General features: G+C 44.3%; 1 long non-coding RNA gene across 1 annotated transcript; it reads right to left on the bottom strand.

Annotated features, from left to right (window-relative positions):
- Positions 1-3,967: 3,967 nt before the first annotated feature.
- Positions 3,968-5,965, bottom strand: LOC105373941 (uncharacterized). The gene is made up of 3 exons (XR_924010.2): positions 5,935-5,965; positions 4,977-5,141; positions 3,968-4,155 (listed from the first exon to the last, which is right to left on the bottom strand). It is a non-coding gene; the product is annotated as an uncharacterized LOC105373941 (long non-coding RNA).
- Positions 5,966-17,874: the final 11,909 nt, after the last annotated feature.

Below are 17,874 nucleotides of genomic sequence, written 5' to 3' on the forward strand. Positions count from 1 at the left end.
AAACCCCATCTCTACTAAAAATACAAAAATTAGCTGGGCGTGGTGGCGCGTGCCTGCAATCCCAGCTACTCAGGAGGCTGAGGCAGGAGAATCTCTTGAACCCAGGAGGCGGAGGTTGCAGTGAGCCAAGATCACGCCACTGCACTCCAGCCTGACGACAGAGCAACGCTCCGCCAAAAAAAAAAAAATCACTACGACTAAAATCAGCAGCGGTAGCATTTTCCTGACTATGCTTGTTTGTTTGTTCTTCCCAAGGAACTTTATAACCAATTGATCTAACTCTAGAAAAAAAAAAAAGCTGTAGAATTTTTTTGAGATTATGTTTAATGTAAAAATTAATAGGTATTAGGTTGGTGCAAAAGTAATTGCAGTACTTTTGCACCAACCAATAGAATTTTCATCTTTAAGTTGTTGAGTTTTCTATCCAAGCACATGTACACCTTTCCATTGATTTAAGTTCTACTACTGTGTTTTTCAGAAGGATTTTAGAGCCTTCTTTATGCAGATGGTAGGCATTTGTTAAGTTTATTCCTGGCTATTTTATTCTCTTACTTGCCATCATAAATTGGGTCTTCTCTCCTATTACGTCTTCTGTCTTGCTCTGCTTGATATTTATATGTTAATTTCATAACTGACTACTTCACTACATTTCAGCTTTTCCTTCCAGTACTAATGCCTTTTATTCCTCTCCCTTGTCAAAATGCAGGGGTTAATCATTTCAACACATTATAAGCAGTTGAAATAGTGGGCGTGTGTTTGTCTTATTGCTTACTTTAATCAGAAAGCCTCTCATGTTTTCCAATCAATAAGGTGCTAGCTTTGGGGCTGATATATATATATATATATATATATATATATATATATATATATATATATATATATATATCACACACACATATATGTACCACATATATAAACATATACATATATACATACACACATATGAACACACACAGACATAATCGAAGTAAGAAACTATCTGTCAAGTCCTGTTTGATGGAGAGAGTATTGTTTTCTATCAAATGCTTTGGTTTGGTTTGGTCGTGCATCTTTGGAGATGATTTTATGATTTTTCTCCTTATGTCTGTTAGTATGATGGATTATATTAATGGATTTCCTAATATTGCTTTGACTTTGCTGTATTAGTTATCTATTGCTACATAACAAGTCATCTCAAAACTTAATGGCTTAAAATAACAATAAACATTTATTTTCCCACAGTTTTTGAGAATCAGGAATCTGGGAAGAGGTTCTCTGGATTAGCTAGACATGGATCAGCAGCAACTATTAACATCACCAAAAAAAAGACAGTCGACCATTGTATGCCTCCTGATGGAAGGGGTTGCTTAGAAAATTGAGCTCAGATTTGATCAAGTCTTGAGCCAGCTACCAATCATAAATACAAAGAACAGAAGGACATGTAAAAGGCACCATGAAGAAGCAGTAGCTAAATCCAAACCACAGGAGACTCTACGGGACAAATACTCTAATTTTCCAACATATGAATGTTAAGGAAAAAGACAGCCAGGTGCAATGGCTCATACCTGTAATCCCAGCACTTTGGAAGGCCAAAGGAGGAGAATCACTTGAAACCAGGAGTTTGAGAACAGCCCAGGCAACATAGCAAGACAACATCTCAAACAAAAAATTTAAAACTTAGCCGGGCATGGTGGCACATGACTGTAGTCTCAGTTACTTGAGAAACTGATAGGGAAGGATCACTTGATCCCAGGAGTTTGAGGTTGCAGTGAGCTATGATCGTGCCACTGTACTCCAGCCTAGGTGACAGAACAAGACCTGCCTCTAAAAATAATAATAATCAAAGAGAAAGAGAGAGATGTAGGGGAAAAGAGATAGAAAGAGATTTGAGAAGCATATTATTCAATCACAACAAAGGGATCTTACTTGGATCCTGACTCAAAGAAATCATAAGAAAAAATTATAAGATAATTGAAAATTTGATCACTGGCTGAATATCAGATCATATTAAGGAATCATTGTTAATTTTTTTAGCTGCAATAACAGCATTTTTAGTATTTCTTTAATTCCTCATATTTTATAGACATATCCTAAACTATTAATAGATAACAGAATATGATATCTTGGATTCGTTTCAAAATAATATGGAAGTGGGAGGTGGGTACAGAAGAAGCAATAAATATTGGCCACGACTGGTTGCTGTTGAAATTGGATAATGGCCCCTTGGGGCTTCATCACCCTTTTCTGGGTACTTTTGCATGCATGTGACATTTTGCCATATGATTCGCCTTCCAAACATCTGCACACATCATTTTCTTGACCCATTCTGACCTGCCCCTTTTCCTCAAAGTTTTATTTCAGTTAACCACATCACCTTCTGCCCAGGCACCTAAACCAGAAAGCTTAAAACACAACCAGTTCTCATTTCACAAAATCTGTCAAATCCCGCATCCTGATGGTTTGTATGTTTTAAGGTTTTTTTTTTTTTTAAGGTAAAATTCAGATAACATGCAATTGACTCTTTAGAGGTGCACAGTTCAGCGGCATTTAGTGTTTTCCCAGCGTTAGGCATCCGCCACCTCTCTCTAGTTGCTAAACTTTTCATCACATCCGAGAAATACCCTGTACCATTAAAGTCATCACTCCCATTCCCCACTCTCCCACCCTTTGGTAACCATGAATGTGCTTTCTAGCTCCGTGGACTTGCCTATTAGGAATATCTTATATATAAGGAGTCATGCAAGCTGCGGTCTTTTGCAACTGACTTCTTTCACTTAGCGTAATGTTTGTGAGGTTCACCCAAGTTGTACCATGTGTCAGTACTTATCTAAATTATTTTAATTGCTCCCTTTAGTTTTATCTCTACCACCCCTCCTCTGTCTGCTTCAGGCCTTTATCTCCTCTTCCCTCGTCCTTCTCTCTTCTCTCTTCCTTCTTCCCTCACTGTTGCCTTGAACAGCTTCCAAGTGGTCTCGCTGCCTCCAGTCTTGCTCTCCCACCCATCCTCCTTATTGCAGCCAAAGTGATCGTGTCTTTTTCCATCACATCCCGCTCCCGTCAGCCAACCATTCTTCCATCAAGATTCATGTCTAAGTCTGATTAAAGCGCTGTTCTCCATTATTCTTTCTTCTCTCTTATTTTCTTGATCACATTCATTCTATCTATCCTAACGTTTACAACACTCCTTGTCACATCCATTGCAGCATTGCTTTCATTAGCCAAACACTGAGAATAACCTAAAAGCCATCAATAGGGCCAGGGTTGGAGTAATTCTGCTACACCCACAGGATGAAATGTGACAATAATGCAACTGTTAAGGGAAATGAGGGTAAGAGAAAGTGACATCAGGAACTTCCTGGTGTGAGGCGCTGAGATGGCAGCATCACTTAGGCAGGACTCCTGCCAAAATGAATCACCTGACTCTAGCAATGAGGAAACATTCAGATGAATTCAAACTGAGGGACAGTCTACAAAACTGGCCTGTGTGCCTTAAAAGATCTCGGTGTCTTGGAGAGAGGATGAGCAATAGTTAAAGAGACTGAAGACGTAGGACAACCAAAGGCAGTGAGTGTCCCTGAATTGGATCCCAAATCAGAAGAATAAATTGCAATTAAGGACACTATCGGGATGACTGGGGGACTATCAATATAGACTTACATGGTATCTTGCTTTAAGGTGTTTTTATAGAAAGCTTTAAGGTGTTTTTATGTATATTTGATAGTGGTATTAGATGGATGTTAAATTCCCTGAAAATGATTTGTACTCTGCACGTATGAGAGAATGCCCTTGCTCTCTGGAGATACACACTGAGATATTTAGTGATAAAAGATGAAGATGTCCCCCAACTTAGTCCCAAATGTCTCTGCAATAATAGCAATCCTTATGTGCATATATGTACACACACTTATGTATATGAGAGAGAGTGTATGCTTAAATGTGGCAGAACGTGAACAACTTGGTAAAACTAGGTAAAGGCTATATACAAAATCATTGCATTATTATTTTTCTGTAAGCTGGAAGAAGTCCAGGGAGACTCACATGAATCACAAGCTGTTCACAGTGGCTGCTGCGCAGGGCAGTCCTGGCTTCCACAGCGTGTCCTAAAATGCGATACTTACAAGCCTCCCTTCCTCTTACAAACCTCCCTTCATGGACAATAAGCCACTTGGTCACCAGCTGTAGGAATGGGTTAAGAGGAACAGAGGATTTTACATTTAACTTCATATAAATTTGTAAAGTTTTAATTTTTTAATGGTGATCACTGATTATTTTATAATAAAATAGTCTTTTTAAAAGTATAAACAGTTTATCACTTACAAATTCTATCTAATCTGTAACCTAGAGGAGTGGATAATGAATTACTCATCAAAAAGTATTATAAACACCTATAAAACATGCTCAGTCTCAACAATTATTAGTGAAACCCAAAAAGCAAAACAACAGCAAGGCATCATTTTCATCAATCAGATTGACAAAAATTAGGTAAACTGGCCGGGCAGTGGCTCATGTTTGTAATACCAGCACTTTGGGAGGCTGAGGCGGGCAGATCACAAGGTCAGGAGTTCAAGACCAGCCTGGCCAGCACAGTGAAACCCCCTCTCTACTAAAAGAAAAAACAAAAATTAGCTGGGCATAGTGGCGGGCACCTGTAATCCCAGCTGCTCTGGAGACTAAAGCAGGAGAATCACTTGAACCCAGGAGGCGGAGGTTGCAGTGAGCCGAGATAGAGCCACTGCACTCCAGCCTGGGTGACAGAGCTAGACGCCCTCTCAAAAAAAAAAAAAAAAAATAGATAAATTGTACATAGCATCAGCAAAAGTGGAGGGGGAAGGATGCCCTTCTCATAGACTGCTGGTGGGAAAATAAATTCTGTTAGTCATTTTGCAGAGTGTTTCTGTAATATCTATGATAATTTAAAATGTGCATGCTCTATAGTGTAGCCATTTAACTTTTAGTTCTATATGCTAGAGAAACTCTATGCACAAAGTGATATGTACGGAGATGTTTAATGTAGCATTATCTGCAGCGGAGGAAACCAGGTGCCAATGTCCATCGGTGTAGGAATGCATGAATAAAATAAGTGTAGGTCTCCAAGGTTCAACTGTTCGAAGAGATGCATTAGATCCACACATGGCTCTATGCATAGACTCAAGAGCCAAAGACTGAGTGAGAAAGACAAGATACAGAATGATAAGAAAAAGTTTATGCCATGTGTGTGAGAAATTTTGAAAACACGAAAACAATACTAGATACTGTGTACATGTGGATATATGTATTTAAATTATTTTCAAATGGAACAAAGGGACATGTGCCAAGCTTTGGAGAGTAGGTGGCTTTGGCAAGATGAGAAGAAAATGGAATTGAAGTAGGGGTGGTAGATCTGATAAGTACAAGGACATAAGCTATATCTGTAATATTTTAATTTTTTATTTAAAAAAGGAAGCCAATAAGTCAAAATACTATCAGTTGTTAATTCTAGATGGTGCAAAAAATGAATGCATATTTCTAAAATTTCTAATTTTTTCAAAATAAATATGAAGATTTAAAGATATGCTAAAGAACTATCTCACAATATTATTACACCATCCAGAGGGGATCCTGACAACATAGAATAAAATTCCTGCACCCCGACAAAAACGGAGATCAATATCTCGACAGCAATTTCATTCTAAGGCACAAAATGTGGCTGGAATATTGAAGAGTCTAGACAGAGCAGCCCACAGACATGCATGTGGGTCAAACCCAGCCAGAAACACAGCCCACATGTGGGATGGGTTCATTCAATAATTTTACACCTGCCAATGTGTTTTGGGGAGAAATCATGGCAGCCTCTCAGATGCATGACTTTTGGTCCCAACTTCCTCTTTGAATTAGTGACTAATGAATGGGAGGAGGAGTGACAAAGTCTTCTTTGTCATGTAAAAGTGAATCTACTTGCGGGGGACAGTGGCTCACGCTTGTAATCCTAGCACTTTGGGAGGCCGAGGTGGGTGGATCACGAGGTCAGGAGTTCGAGACCAGCCTGGCCAGCATGGCGAAACTCCATCTCTACTCAGGAGGCTGAGGCAGAAGAATCTCTTGAACCCAGGAGGCAGAGGTTGCAGTGAGTGAGTAGAGATCGCGCCGCTGCACTCCAGCCTGGGCGACAGAGTGAGACTCCATCCCAAAAAAAAAAAAAATGGTGAATCTACTTATTTCAAAATGGGAAGGTCAAAATCAGAAAACTCTTCTAATCCCTGCAGCACATCAAAGCTCCAGGTATACTCAGCATATACTAAACAGTACTCAAGTTGCATTCATTAGAATCACCCGGGGAAAACTTATTAAACATGCAAATTCCTGAGCACCACAGTCAGCCATTCTGATTCAAGAAGAGTGAGATGGGGCTTTGCATTCTGTGTCTTTAGCAAACTTCCCCCAGATGATTCAGCTTTATGTACCCTGTGCAACGTGATCTGAAAAAGAATAAAACAGATTATTAATTAGACAATCTCCACTTCCCACTCAACAACAGCTTTGGTTATGTGCAACCAAAAGCTGTTTGTATAGGGGGTGGTTGGTTTGTTGGTTGTTGGAGGGGAGGGGTGTGAGTGGGTTGCCTGGTTAATTGGTTGGTGGGAGGGTGGGTTGGTTAGTTGGTTGGTGGGTATGGGGGAGTAGGTTGGCTGGTTAGTTAGTTGGTTAGTGGGTGGGTGGATAGGTTGGTTGGTTGGTTGGTTGGTGTGTTGTTTGGTTGCCTAGAATGTTTGTTTTCTCAAAACTCTAACTGGAATTTCTGTCCATTCTCTCCCATTTGGCTTCTGCTCTCCATATTAGAAATATGGCATCTTCATTGGACATCTTCCCATTTCATCCTTGTCTTTCACATCAGAATAAGGCCTTAACACATGAAGGAGGAGCCCCCTGCAGTCAGCTCTTTTCTTCAAATCTAGCTGTTCTAGAAACCTGTCCTGAGTTATTTTAGGACCAAACACTAAGCCTAGTGTCTGGCTTTTGGTTGATTTTCCTCATAACTTGCCAGAGGGAGAATGAGCGTAATTGTAGTAGAAAGAACACTTCTTAGACAAAGTTAGTGTGGTAGTTAATTTTATGTATCAACTTCATCAACTACAGAGTGCCCAGACATTTGGTCAGACATTATTCCGGGTGTGTCTTTGAAGATGTTTCTGGATGAGATCAGCATTTGAATCAGTCCAGTGAGTGAAGCAGACGGCCTGCCCTAATGCGGGTGGGCCTCATCCAATCAGTTGACAGCCAGAATAGAACAAAAAGGCTGACTCTCCCTCGAGTAAGGGAAGACTTCCACCTGCCTGACTGCCTTTGAGCTGGGGCATTGTTTGTTTGATTTTTTTCTGCCTTTGGACTCAAACTGCAACGTCAGCTCTTTTTGGGTCTCGAGCCTGCTAGCTTTTGGACTGGAACTACACTCTTGGCTCTCCCAGGTCTCCAGCTTGCCAACTACAGATCTAGGAACTTGTCAGGCCTCATAACCACATGAGCCAATACCTTTAAAAAATTATATACATATATATATATGAATCCTATTGTTCTGTTCCTCTGAAGAACCTTGACTTACACAAGCAGCAATAGGAAACAAACACGCTCCTTTCACAGAAGAGAGATCTACAATCTAGAGAAGCAAAGGGAACTTGACAGAGCTCACACAGTTTGTGTTAGGACAGGATTCAAGACCAGATGCCCTCCTGCAGAGCCTGGACTCCCGCCTCAGACCTCTTCACCATGTCATGCTGCTCCCACTTCCTTGCCTGCCGTGGCTCATGACCAATGTAAGATGATCATTGAAGATGATTGACTAAAGATGACAGCAGGCCCAGTAAGAGAATATCAGTTTCTTTAATGGCAAAGGGTACCCCACATCTGGAGATGCCTGATGTGCTCCAGATGCAGAGCAGCTCCTGACACCTGGCAGATTTCTCGCTCCTGGCGGGAGAGGTCAGCCACCTGCAGGCTCAGTGTGTGCTGCTCTGAGCTTCTAGAAAGCACATGCTGGGCCATCTCCTGCCTTAGGTAGACACCTGGTCCCCATGCCCTCCTCTATTGAGTGTCTCTGGTGTTCTTCTGTCAGTCAATCATAGTGCCAGTGACCATCATACACTCACCTGTTAGAAAAGAAAAGGGCCCAAATGATAATGAAGGGCTGGAATTTCTTCTACCACATGGATCTCTGCAGGACCAGTCATGTTAAAGACCACAATAAAGGCTAGCACTCCAGGGTCACTGTACTAAGACCCTCGTCCTGCCCAGTGCCAAGAGAAGTCAGTGAGAATTAAACTCTAAGAAGCCCCCTGAATTGGAGGAAATGCTAGCATTTGTCCTCTGAAGCTGCCAGCTGCATGAGTGCACAGCTGCTGGTTGAATTCCGTGGCTGAGGTTGGATGCCTGCCTGACCTGGCCTCGCCAATGCTGGGTATACAGCAGAGGGGATAGTCTCAAATCAGGCCATCAGAAGAGTGGTGGGCAATCTCAAAGAGAAGGCACAGCTGGGAAGAAAATTTTCCATCTGCCCTGAGTAGAGGGAGGAGAAATAGGTCAGGCCAGACAATGTAGGGGCTGTCCGCGGACGGTGATCTGAAAATGAATCACTTCTGTGTTGAGCAGAGGCTAGGTCAAATTTTCCAGAAAGGGCAGAATTCCCAGTTGGGTAAACTATTGGGACATAGAAAAGACACATCGTTGGCACAGGGGAAGAATCACTGAACTTGGAGATGAAAGATCTGCCAATTCCTGTGCGCTGGGTGGGTACCTTACCTAAACCATCTGAGTTTCAATGTCTTCAACTGCAAAGTGGGCCCATGAGATGAAATAAGAAAATCTGTTTTGCAAAGTTTTTTTTTTATTTTTTATTTTTATTTTGTTTTATTTTATTTTTTGAGACGGAGTCTGGCTCTGTCACCCAGGCTGGAGTGCAGTGGCGCGATCTCGGCTCACTGCAAGCTCCGCCTCCCGGGTTCACGCCATTCTCCTGCCTCAGCCTCCTGAGTAGCTGGGACTACAGGCACCCGCCACTGCCGCCGGCTAACTTTTTATATTTTTAGTAGAGACGGGGTTTCACCGTGGTCTCGATCTCCTGACTTCGTGATCTGCCCACCTCGGCCTCCCAAAGTGCTGGGATTACAGGCTTGAGCCACCGCGCCTGGCTGCAAACTATTCTTAAGATTGTATCCATTGATATTAATAAGGGCTAATTGTCTGGCCCATAGTACAGTTTTGGGGCAGTGTCTATTGAAGAATTCCTAACTTATCTTGCAAGGACTATTATGCACTTAGTGAAATTTAATCCCATAGCCATCCCATAAGTGGCCATTGGGAGCTCCTTTTACAGTTAAGAAGACAGTCTCTAGAGCTTCCAGAACTCGTTCATGTACATTCCAGTCCCTGCCAGGGGACAGTCAGCGTGTGATGGAGCGCTGGGCCTGTGCTTATCCAACCCCGGCTCCCCAGCTCCTTCTTCGCCTGCTGTTTTCCATCTCAGCCTCCTCTTCATGGAGGGGTGAAAGGAAACCAGCCCCTGCCCCGCTGATCCCCATTCACAGAGGCCGTTTTTGTGGCCAGCCTGGGCTCGACATGACCAGCGTGGCAATGTGGACCTCTCTCCGCCGGCGCTGCCCATGTCCAGGCCCCCGCGAGCGCCTCCCCTGCTTCCCCGGCATTGTCCGAGGCCTGGCGGAAGAGAGGCTTCCCAGTGCTTCCCGCGGCCTGGGAATGTACAGTGAAGTCACCAGCCTGCGAAAGAAAAGGCCTCTGTCTCCCGGGTGACGGGGCTCTATTCGGGGATGCGCATTATGCAGCCCTGGTCCTCACAAAGAAAGTCGCGACTGTTCGGGGCACGTCATCTGGCCTGGCAGCTCTGAGAGGGGACATTTCATTTCCGCTCTGCATGTTCCCTCCTGCCCCCTGAATGGCTCTGGGCTGTGTGGCCACACAGTGACCCACTGCCTTTCTGCCAGGATGGTGCGAGCCACCCAGAGAGAAAAGTCCTGATTAGCACTTTCCCACGCGTGCCTCAGCCTGGCCAGGCATCCGCCGCAGGCAGAGGCGTTCCTGTGGCTCTGGGGTCCACAGTGGCTCTTGCTCCAGGCCTGGACGACAAGCTCTTACAGGCAGTAAGAGACATTGCCCTGTCTTGGTTCTTGGGGATGAGACCACAGGAGCTGCGAGCCCTGAGTGGGGGTCTGGCTGTAATGAAGGCCAGCAAGGCAGATGGTCAGGGCCAATGCCACGTCCACCCAGCAAAGCCAGAACAGGGACCAGGCTAGCGGCTGGGTTAGTGCAGAGCAGACAGCCGATCCTAGAGGGGCAAGATGAGACAGCACAGATCAGACCAAGGCCAAGTCCAGCAGCAGTGAGCAAGGGGTGGACATGTCCAAAACAGGGAAGTCAAAGTCGGTCTTGATCAGCTTCTCAAATGGACTAAGGGCCACCTATGTCAGAATCACAAAGTGAGACTGTTAAAAATACACAATTTAGGTTCCTACCCCAGACCAACAGAAAAAGAAGCTGCAAAGCTCTGGCCTGGGAATGGGCATTGTAAAAAAAAAGAGTTCTAGAGGGGCCACTTGAGCTCATTAAAACATATGTATGCCTAGTGTTCCATTATTGGAACACTGAGCATATGGGAGTTATTTATTCCCTACTGCTCAAGGTCATTGCCAAGGTCTGATTGCAAAAACTCAAAAAATAGCAACCTCAGGCACAAATGGGTTAAACTAGAAAGAGGTGTGTGAAGAAAAGCTCATAGGTTGCTTTCTCTAGACAGTGGGAAGACTAGAACCGTATAAAGTATTTTTTAATCTCCCTTCTCTCATCTTATTATTTATTTTGCCTCTTTTCACTCCTTTTTAACCACCCCATCCTAGGCAACCAGGCCAATGGATAATATGCATCTTGTTATTTAGATGTAACCTTAGAAAGTGCCTGTTTCTTGGTGTGTACCTGTATGACTTCCACAAATAAGGTTGCCTTGCCTAGCTGCTTCTTAATTTTTTCTTTTTTTTTTCTTTTTTTTTATTTTTTTGAGACAGAGTTTCGCTCTTGTTGCCCAGGCTAGAATGCAATGGTGCAATCTCAGCTCACTGCAACCTCTGTCTCCCAGGTTATGCCAGGCTAATTTTTGTATTTTTAGTACAGATGGGGTTTCACCATGTTGGTCAGGCTGGTCTTGAACTCCTAACCTCAGGTGATCTGCCCTGCTCGGCCTCCTAAAGAGCTGGGATTACAGGCGTGAGCCACCGTGCCCAGCCTGCTGCTTAATTTTTTCATACTGCACAAAGGTGCATTCATGTGGCTAAGTGCACCCCTCCTCCATCGATTGGAAGGACTATACAGATCCCTGTGGTGTCTGCCACATTCTATCTCATCACCCCCCAAGTGATGGGTGCCCAGTTGTCTTCATACCCCACCACATACAGATAAACACACTGAGCTATGCCCTCATCGACACAGAGAAGATTGGTGGTGGTATGCGTGTGCATATAAATTCCACAGAATCCCACGGAATTCCAAGGGCATGCTTACCTGAACTCTTCCAGATTGATCTCTCAAGGAATGTACCAGTCTACCCTCCTAACATCAGAGCATGGGGGTCCCCGTAGGCCACAGCCCTGCCAACATGAGCACTATCCAGCTGCTATTCTTCCAATTTTTGCCAGTCTAATAAAGTGAAGTCTCATTATAGTTTTAATTTGCATTTCTTTCTGTAGGGGAGTTGAAGTATCTCTTCACATGATTGTTATTCTTTGAGTTTTTTTCTTCTGTAAATTGCCTGTTCGTATCCTTGTCTTGTTGGTTTGCAGTATTTCCTTACATATTCTAAGTATTCTTTCCTTTTCAATTACAGACAAATGCCTTTTCCCACTTTGATATATTTTTATTAATTTTATGGTGTACTTTTTAACGACTTGAGAAACAAATCACATACTGTACAGTTCACCCCATTAAAGTGCACAGTTCAATGGTTTTCAGTATATTCGCGGAGTTGTGCAACCAGCACCATCATCAATTTTGATAACATTTGCATCATCTCCCAAATAAGCCACATACCCATTAACAGTCACTTCCCAGCACCCTGTGCTATAAAATAACTAATCTACTTTTTGCCTTAATAGATTTGTCCATTCTGGACATTCCGTATAAATGTAATTATATAATACACGGTCTTCTGAGGCTGGCTTCTTTCACTTAGCATAATGTTTTCAAGGCTCATTTGTGGTAGCATTCATTAGTACTTCATTCCTTTTTTTTTTTTTTTTTGAGACAGGGTCTCACTCCGTCGCCCAGGCTGGAGTGCAGTGGCGCGATCTCGGTTCCCTGCAGCCTCAACATCCTAGACTCTGGTAATCCACCCACTTCAGCCTCCCAGGTAGCTGAGACCACAGACACGCACCACCATGCCAGGATTTTTTTTTTTTTCCACCGTGTTGCCCAGGCTGGTCTCGAACTCCTAGGCTCAAGAGAGCCACCTACCTCAGCCTCCCAAAATGCTTCATTCCTCATTGCCAAATAACATTTCATTGCTTGACTATACCACATTTTGTTAATCCATTCATCAGCGAATCGACTTTTGGGTTGTTTTCACGTCTTGGTTATTATGCATAATGCTGCTATGAATATTCATATATACAAATTATTTTATGGAAATATGTTTTTATTTCTCTCTTATGTATACCTAAGAATGGAATTACATAGTAACTCTGTGTTTCACATTTTCAGGAGCTGCCAAACTGTTTTCCACAGTGGCTGCACCATTTTACATTTCCGCTCGCAACGCGTGAGGGTTCCAGTTTCTCCACTTTCTCACCAATCCTAGGGATGTCTGTCTTTTTTATCACAGCCACCCTAGTGGGTGTGATGAGGCATCTCACTGTGTTTTGATTTGCATTTCCCTAATGGCTATGACATTGGGCATCTTTCATGTGCTTATCATCCATTTATACATCTTCTTTGGAGAAATGTCTATTCAGATCCTTTGTTCATTATTAAATTGGGTTTTTTTCAAGTATTAAGAGTTTGGTGTACTTTTTGAACAACAAAAGACAAAATCATCAATTTGATATAATCACATTGGTTTTCTGTTTTGGCTTGGTGTTACCTTATAGTTTGTGATATTGAAATTTTGTTTTAGAAGTCCTTTTCTTCCCTAGGTCAAAAGGATACACACACAATTAATTTTACAGTTTACCCTTCACATTCAGGTCCAACTGGATTCCACCTTTGTGTGTGATGCTGGACAGTAATCTAGTTTCACTTTTCTCCATAGAGATGGCCAGTTCTCCCAACACTATTTTCAAAATGGCCTGTCTTTTCCCATTGATGTATGATGCCACCTTTATCACATGTTAGATTTCCATATGCACTGATGTCTGTCTCTGAGCTCTTTATCGTGTTTCTTCAGTCTATTCTGTTCCTTTGGTCTGTTTGTCTGCTCTCGAGCCAATTCCATACTCCTTTAAGCAGCCAGCCCTCTTTTGAAGGTCCCAGGGGCCAATCCCCATGGAAGCCTCTCTAGTCTTGAAGGTGCAACCCTCTCTGGTCCTGGAAATGCTTCTTCTCTTCTCCAGCTGTGCCTCTGTAATTATTTGCTTTGGAGTTTCTGCAGCACTTTGGTAATCTTAGTGCCCTCTAATTTTTCTGGGTAACTCATAATGTGGCCAGGGACAGACTGCTGTGAGTTTATGGTTAATGCTGTCCCAGTGAGGGACCTTGGACCAAGCCTGTCACTTTAATAAGCCAAATCTGCATTCAAATAGCCCATTTCCTAAGTCACATTTCAGGAGCTTCTGTAAAGCACAGTCTCAATGACTAGTGCCTTGAGATGGCCTTCTGCTCTCATTATCACTAATGTTCACGCCCTGTTCCCATGAACTGACGTGGTGCTGGATGCTGGGCTTGTGGGTGTCCAGGTGCTGTGGACAGGAGGAATAGTGCCCCGAACCTGGAGTCTGGATGGTGGTGGGCCCTGGCAAGTGATCTACCATCATCTATCTTTTTGTAGATGAGGTAACCACACCCTGGGAAGTACCTGGCTGGGCAGTTCCCTATAACATACCGCCTCTCAAACCTCAAGCTTGGCTGGTGCAGTGGCTCACACCTGTAATCCCAGCACTTTAGGAGGCCAAGGTGGGTGGATCCCCTGAGACCAGGAGTTCAAGATAAGCCTGAGCAACATGGTGAAACCCTGTCTCTACCAAAAAAAAAAAAAAAATGCGCCGGCCATAGTGGTGCATACCTATAGTCTCAGCTACTTGGGAGGCTGAGGCAGGAGGATGGCAGGAGCCCTGGAGTTCAAGGCAGCAGTGAGCTGTGATCATGCCACTGCATTCCAGCCTGGGGCAACAGAGTGAGACCGTGTCTCAAAAAAAAAAAAAAAAAAAAAAAAAAAAAAAAAAACAGAAAAAAACTTGAGTTTATAAAAATATTGCCCTTAACAATTGACTGATACTGTACAATTTTAAAAGAGCATTTCTTCATTATTGCATTAGACCCTTAGTACCTTCTGATGAAGTATTCAAGGACTTATATTGTTAGTTTCATTTTCAAGGTAGAGAAATTGAAGTGCAGAGGTGATATGTGATGCCCGTGATCCCATAGCCCAGGCAGGAGTGATGGGCAGGCCCAGGAAAGACCTCAGCATTTCTGACCTGCTCTATAGGACTATACCAGTCAGCCAGGACTCCCATAACAAAATACCACAGGCTGAGCAGCCGAAACAACAGAAACTGGTTTCTTACAGATATAGAGGCTGGAAGTCCCCAACCAAGGCCCGGCAGGGCTAGTTTCTGATGAGGGCTCTTCCCAGCCTGCTGACAGCCACTCTGTCCACACGTGGCCTTTCCTTTAAGTGTGCACAGGGAGGGGACATCCTCTCTGGTGTCTCTTTTCATGAGGACACTAGTCCTATCAGACCTTTACGACCTCCTTTTACCTTAATTACCTCCTTAAGACCTCATCTCCAAATGCAGTCACATCAGGGGTTAGGGCTTCAACCTACGAACTGGGGAGAAGATCCAATTCAGTCCACAGCATTGCTGTAGCAAATTACTGCAAACCTGGTGGCTTAAAACAACATAAACTTCCTCTCCCAGTTTTGGAGGGCCAATGTCTGAAATCACGGTTTCCACAGGGCTGCATTCTTTCTGCATACCCTTCAGGGTAGAATCCACTCCTTTGCCTTTTCCAGTTCCAGGAACCGCCTGCATCCCTGGCTCGCAGCCCCGTCCTTGCATCACCGCAACCTCTTGTTCCATCATCTCAGCTCCTACTACTCAGTCCGACCTCCTGCCTCTTATAAAGACCCTTGTGATTACACTGAGCCTCCCAGATAACCCAGGATATAATCTCCCATCTCAAGATCCTCAGCTTAACCCCCTCTGCAGTCACTTTTGCCACATTGGGGACATACTCACAGGTGCCAGAGACGAAGGTGTGGACCTTTAGGGATCATCATCCAGTTTCCCACATTCACTTGACTCTCCTAGACCACGCCCCGCTGCTCTGTAAGATGAGGAAGTAGAATAAGAAGATCTCTAAGGCCCTGGCAGATTTCTTCCTGTTGTGGCTTGTGGTTCGCCATGCTCAAAAGGGCAATGTCTGATTTGCTTTCACAGACACGTCATCTGCCAGCTGTGCTTCTCTAGCTGGGAGCACGAATGAGGTTACAACTCCGTTAGCCCACAGTTTTTTTCCTTGTACCATCCTTGCACCTTCTCTGAACTCCTCTGTATCAATAGTTTTACTTCTTAACATTATTTTCTACTCTAGAAAAACTTCAAAATGGATACATTTTGCTCAAATAATAGGCAACGTTCCCTGTTTGGGCATTTCTGTTCTTTCCTGCAGGCACTCATTTACTCATTCCACAAGTGTCTGCCAAAGGCCTGCTAGCCCCACGCACTGTGCAGGCTGTGCAGACGGATTGCAGACGCAGCCACAGGTCAGCACAGGAGAGTGAGAAGTGACTTCAGGACACCAGGCACATCCGTCAGCGACCAAGCAGGAAATCGTCCAAAGGAAGAGACTCTAGAGAAAGGATTCTTTACGGAGGTATGGGTAGGGCTGGGGGACCACACAGGAGATGGCGGGGAACCCCGAGACTTCTCACAGTGGGCAGTGCCACCTTCCCTACGACTAAAGGAGCAAGGAAAGGCAGGTGAGAGCTGGAACCTAGAGGAGAAGGCTGTCGTCATGAAGGGTCAGAGCTACTGTCAGAGGTGAGATGTCAAAGCAGGGGTGGTGGGCAGAAACACCCCAGCCTCCCTCTCTACCTCCCCTCCACCTTACACCAGTGCCTCTCATTGGCCAAACCAACCAGAAGCCAATGGGAAGGGGAGCCCAAGAGATGCAACTCAAGGAGTTAGTCTTTGGAGGCACAGAGAGGGCAGAGAGCAGCAAGAATGGATCCTGTTGGGGTGAAGCAGGAACCAGGAAAAAGCAGACCCCCTGTTTTCTAGCCTGACTCTGTCACCAACTGTAATAGCTTTGCCTCCTTGGACAAGTCATTTACTCTCTGTAGACTTTCATTTTCCTCACCTAAAAGTGAACTGTGGCATGGAAATCTACTAGTTACAGGATGATCTCTACCACCTATTTCGAATTTAATAATCTGTGGTTTTAGATACACACAGAAAGGTAGAAATATACAGCTATAGATATATAAAATATATTCAACACACTGCTGAGCCATATGTTTGTTTTCTGTAAATATATGAAATACTGTGAAGACGTGGCTTTCTAGGCATCCTCATGTATAAATATACCGACTGGGCTTCCCTTGGGACACACCGTTTAAAGCTGACTTCCACAGAGTAAGGAGGAAAATCAGCAAACCGCTGCGTGTTCTAGCATTTGGTGGGCCAGATTTCTCTGGGGGTAGAGGGGGCGACGCTCAAGCTTCCTCAGGATTTTAATCTTACGTGGACAGCTGTTGTAGAAAAATAACAAAGCTCGCGAAGCAAACTGCTCCCTAACGTGACAGTCTTCTCCTCCGACAAGCCGTAGATTTCCTGGCAAGGAAGGCAGACAATTAGCAACATCCACACTAGGAAGAGTTTTTGCAGAGCGAGGACTGCAGCAGTGATGGCGCCTGCCTCCCAGGAAGGGAATGAAATGAGGCATCTCCGCGCGCATTCCGGATCGGGCATCAGTATGTGACATCGCCAGCACGATGCTATTTCCATCTGTGTGACAGTCTAATAATACCTTCGAACAGAAACAGACAGCCATCGGCCACATAAGATACCACGATGCACTGGAGAATGTGCTGGAAGCCAGCTCTCCCTTGCCGCTGGGTGACATTCTCAGTTGTTAACCCGGCGGCCCTGGGCGGCCCTGAAGCTGGGGTTTGCTGCCTTGCTAGAGGTGCCTCGTGGCCTCCTGCCATGTGGACTTTGCTTTGCTTCCTTACCCCTGCAGCCAACGGTGTACCTCTAAGAAATGAAGACCTCCATCTGTATGAGTCCAAGTCCTCAACCAACCAGGAATCCACCCTAGGAAGAGAGGCTAAGTCCCCGAGACAAGCCTATGGCTGGAGAAAATGAACCGTTAACACTTTGAAACGCAGTACAGTGGTTTGACCATCAGCAGCAATGTCAGCTGTGACCATCGGGGTGAGAGATGGTAGCAGATTCAGAGACAAGATTAGCCCAAAATGGGAAGAATGGGATTTTCGAGAAGGTGCCTGGCAAGGCTGGTCCGCCAAAGGCTCTTCTTTTTGTTTGTTTGTTTGTTTGTTGTTATTGTTGTTGTTTGAGACGGAATCTCACACTGTGCCCGGGGATGGAGTGCAGTGGCGCGATCTCAGCTCACTGCAACCTCTGCTTCCCGGGTTCAAGCAATTCTCCTGCCTCAGACTCCTGAGTAGCTGGGATTACAGGTGCCCAC

This window comes from Homo sapiens, chromosome 2 (assembly GCF_000001405.40).
Source record: "Homo sapiens chromosome 2, GRCh38.p14 Primary Assembly".
Taxonomy (NCBI): Eukaryota; Metazoa; Chordata; class Mammalia; order Primates; family Hominidae; genus Homo; species Homo sapiens.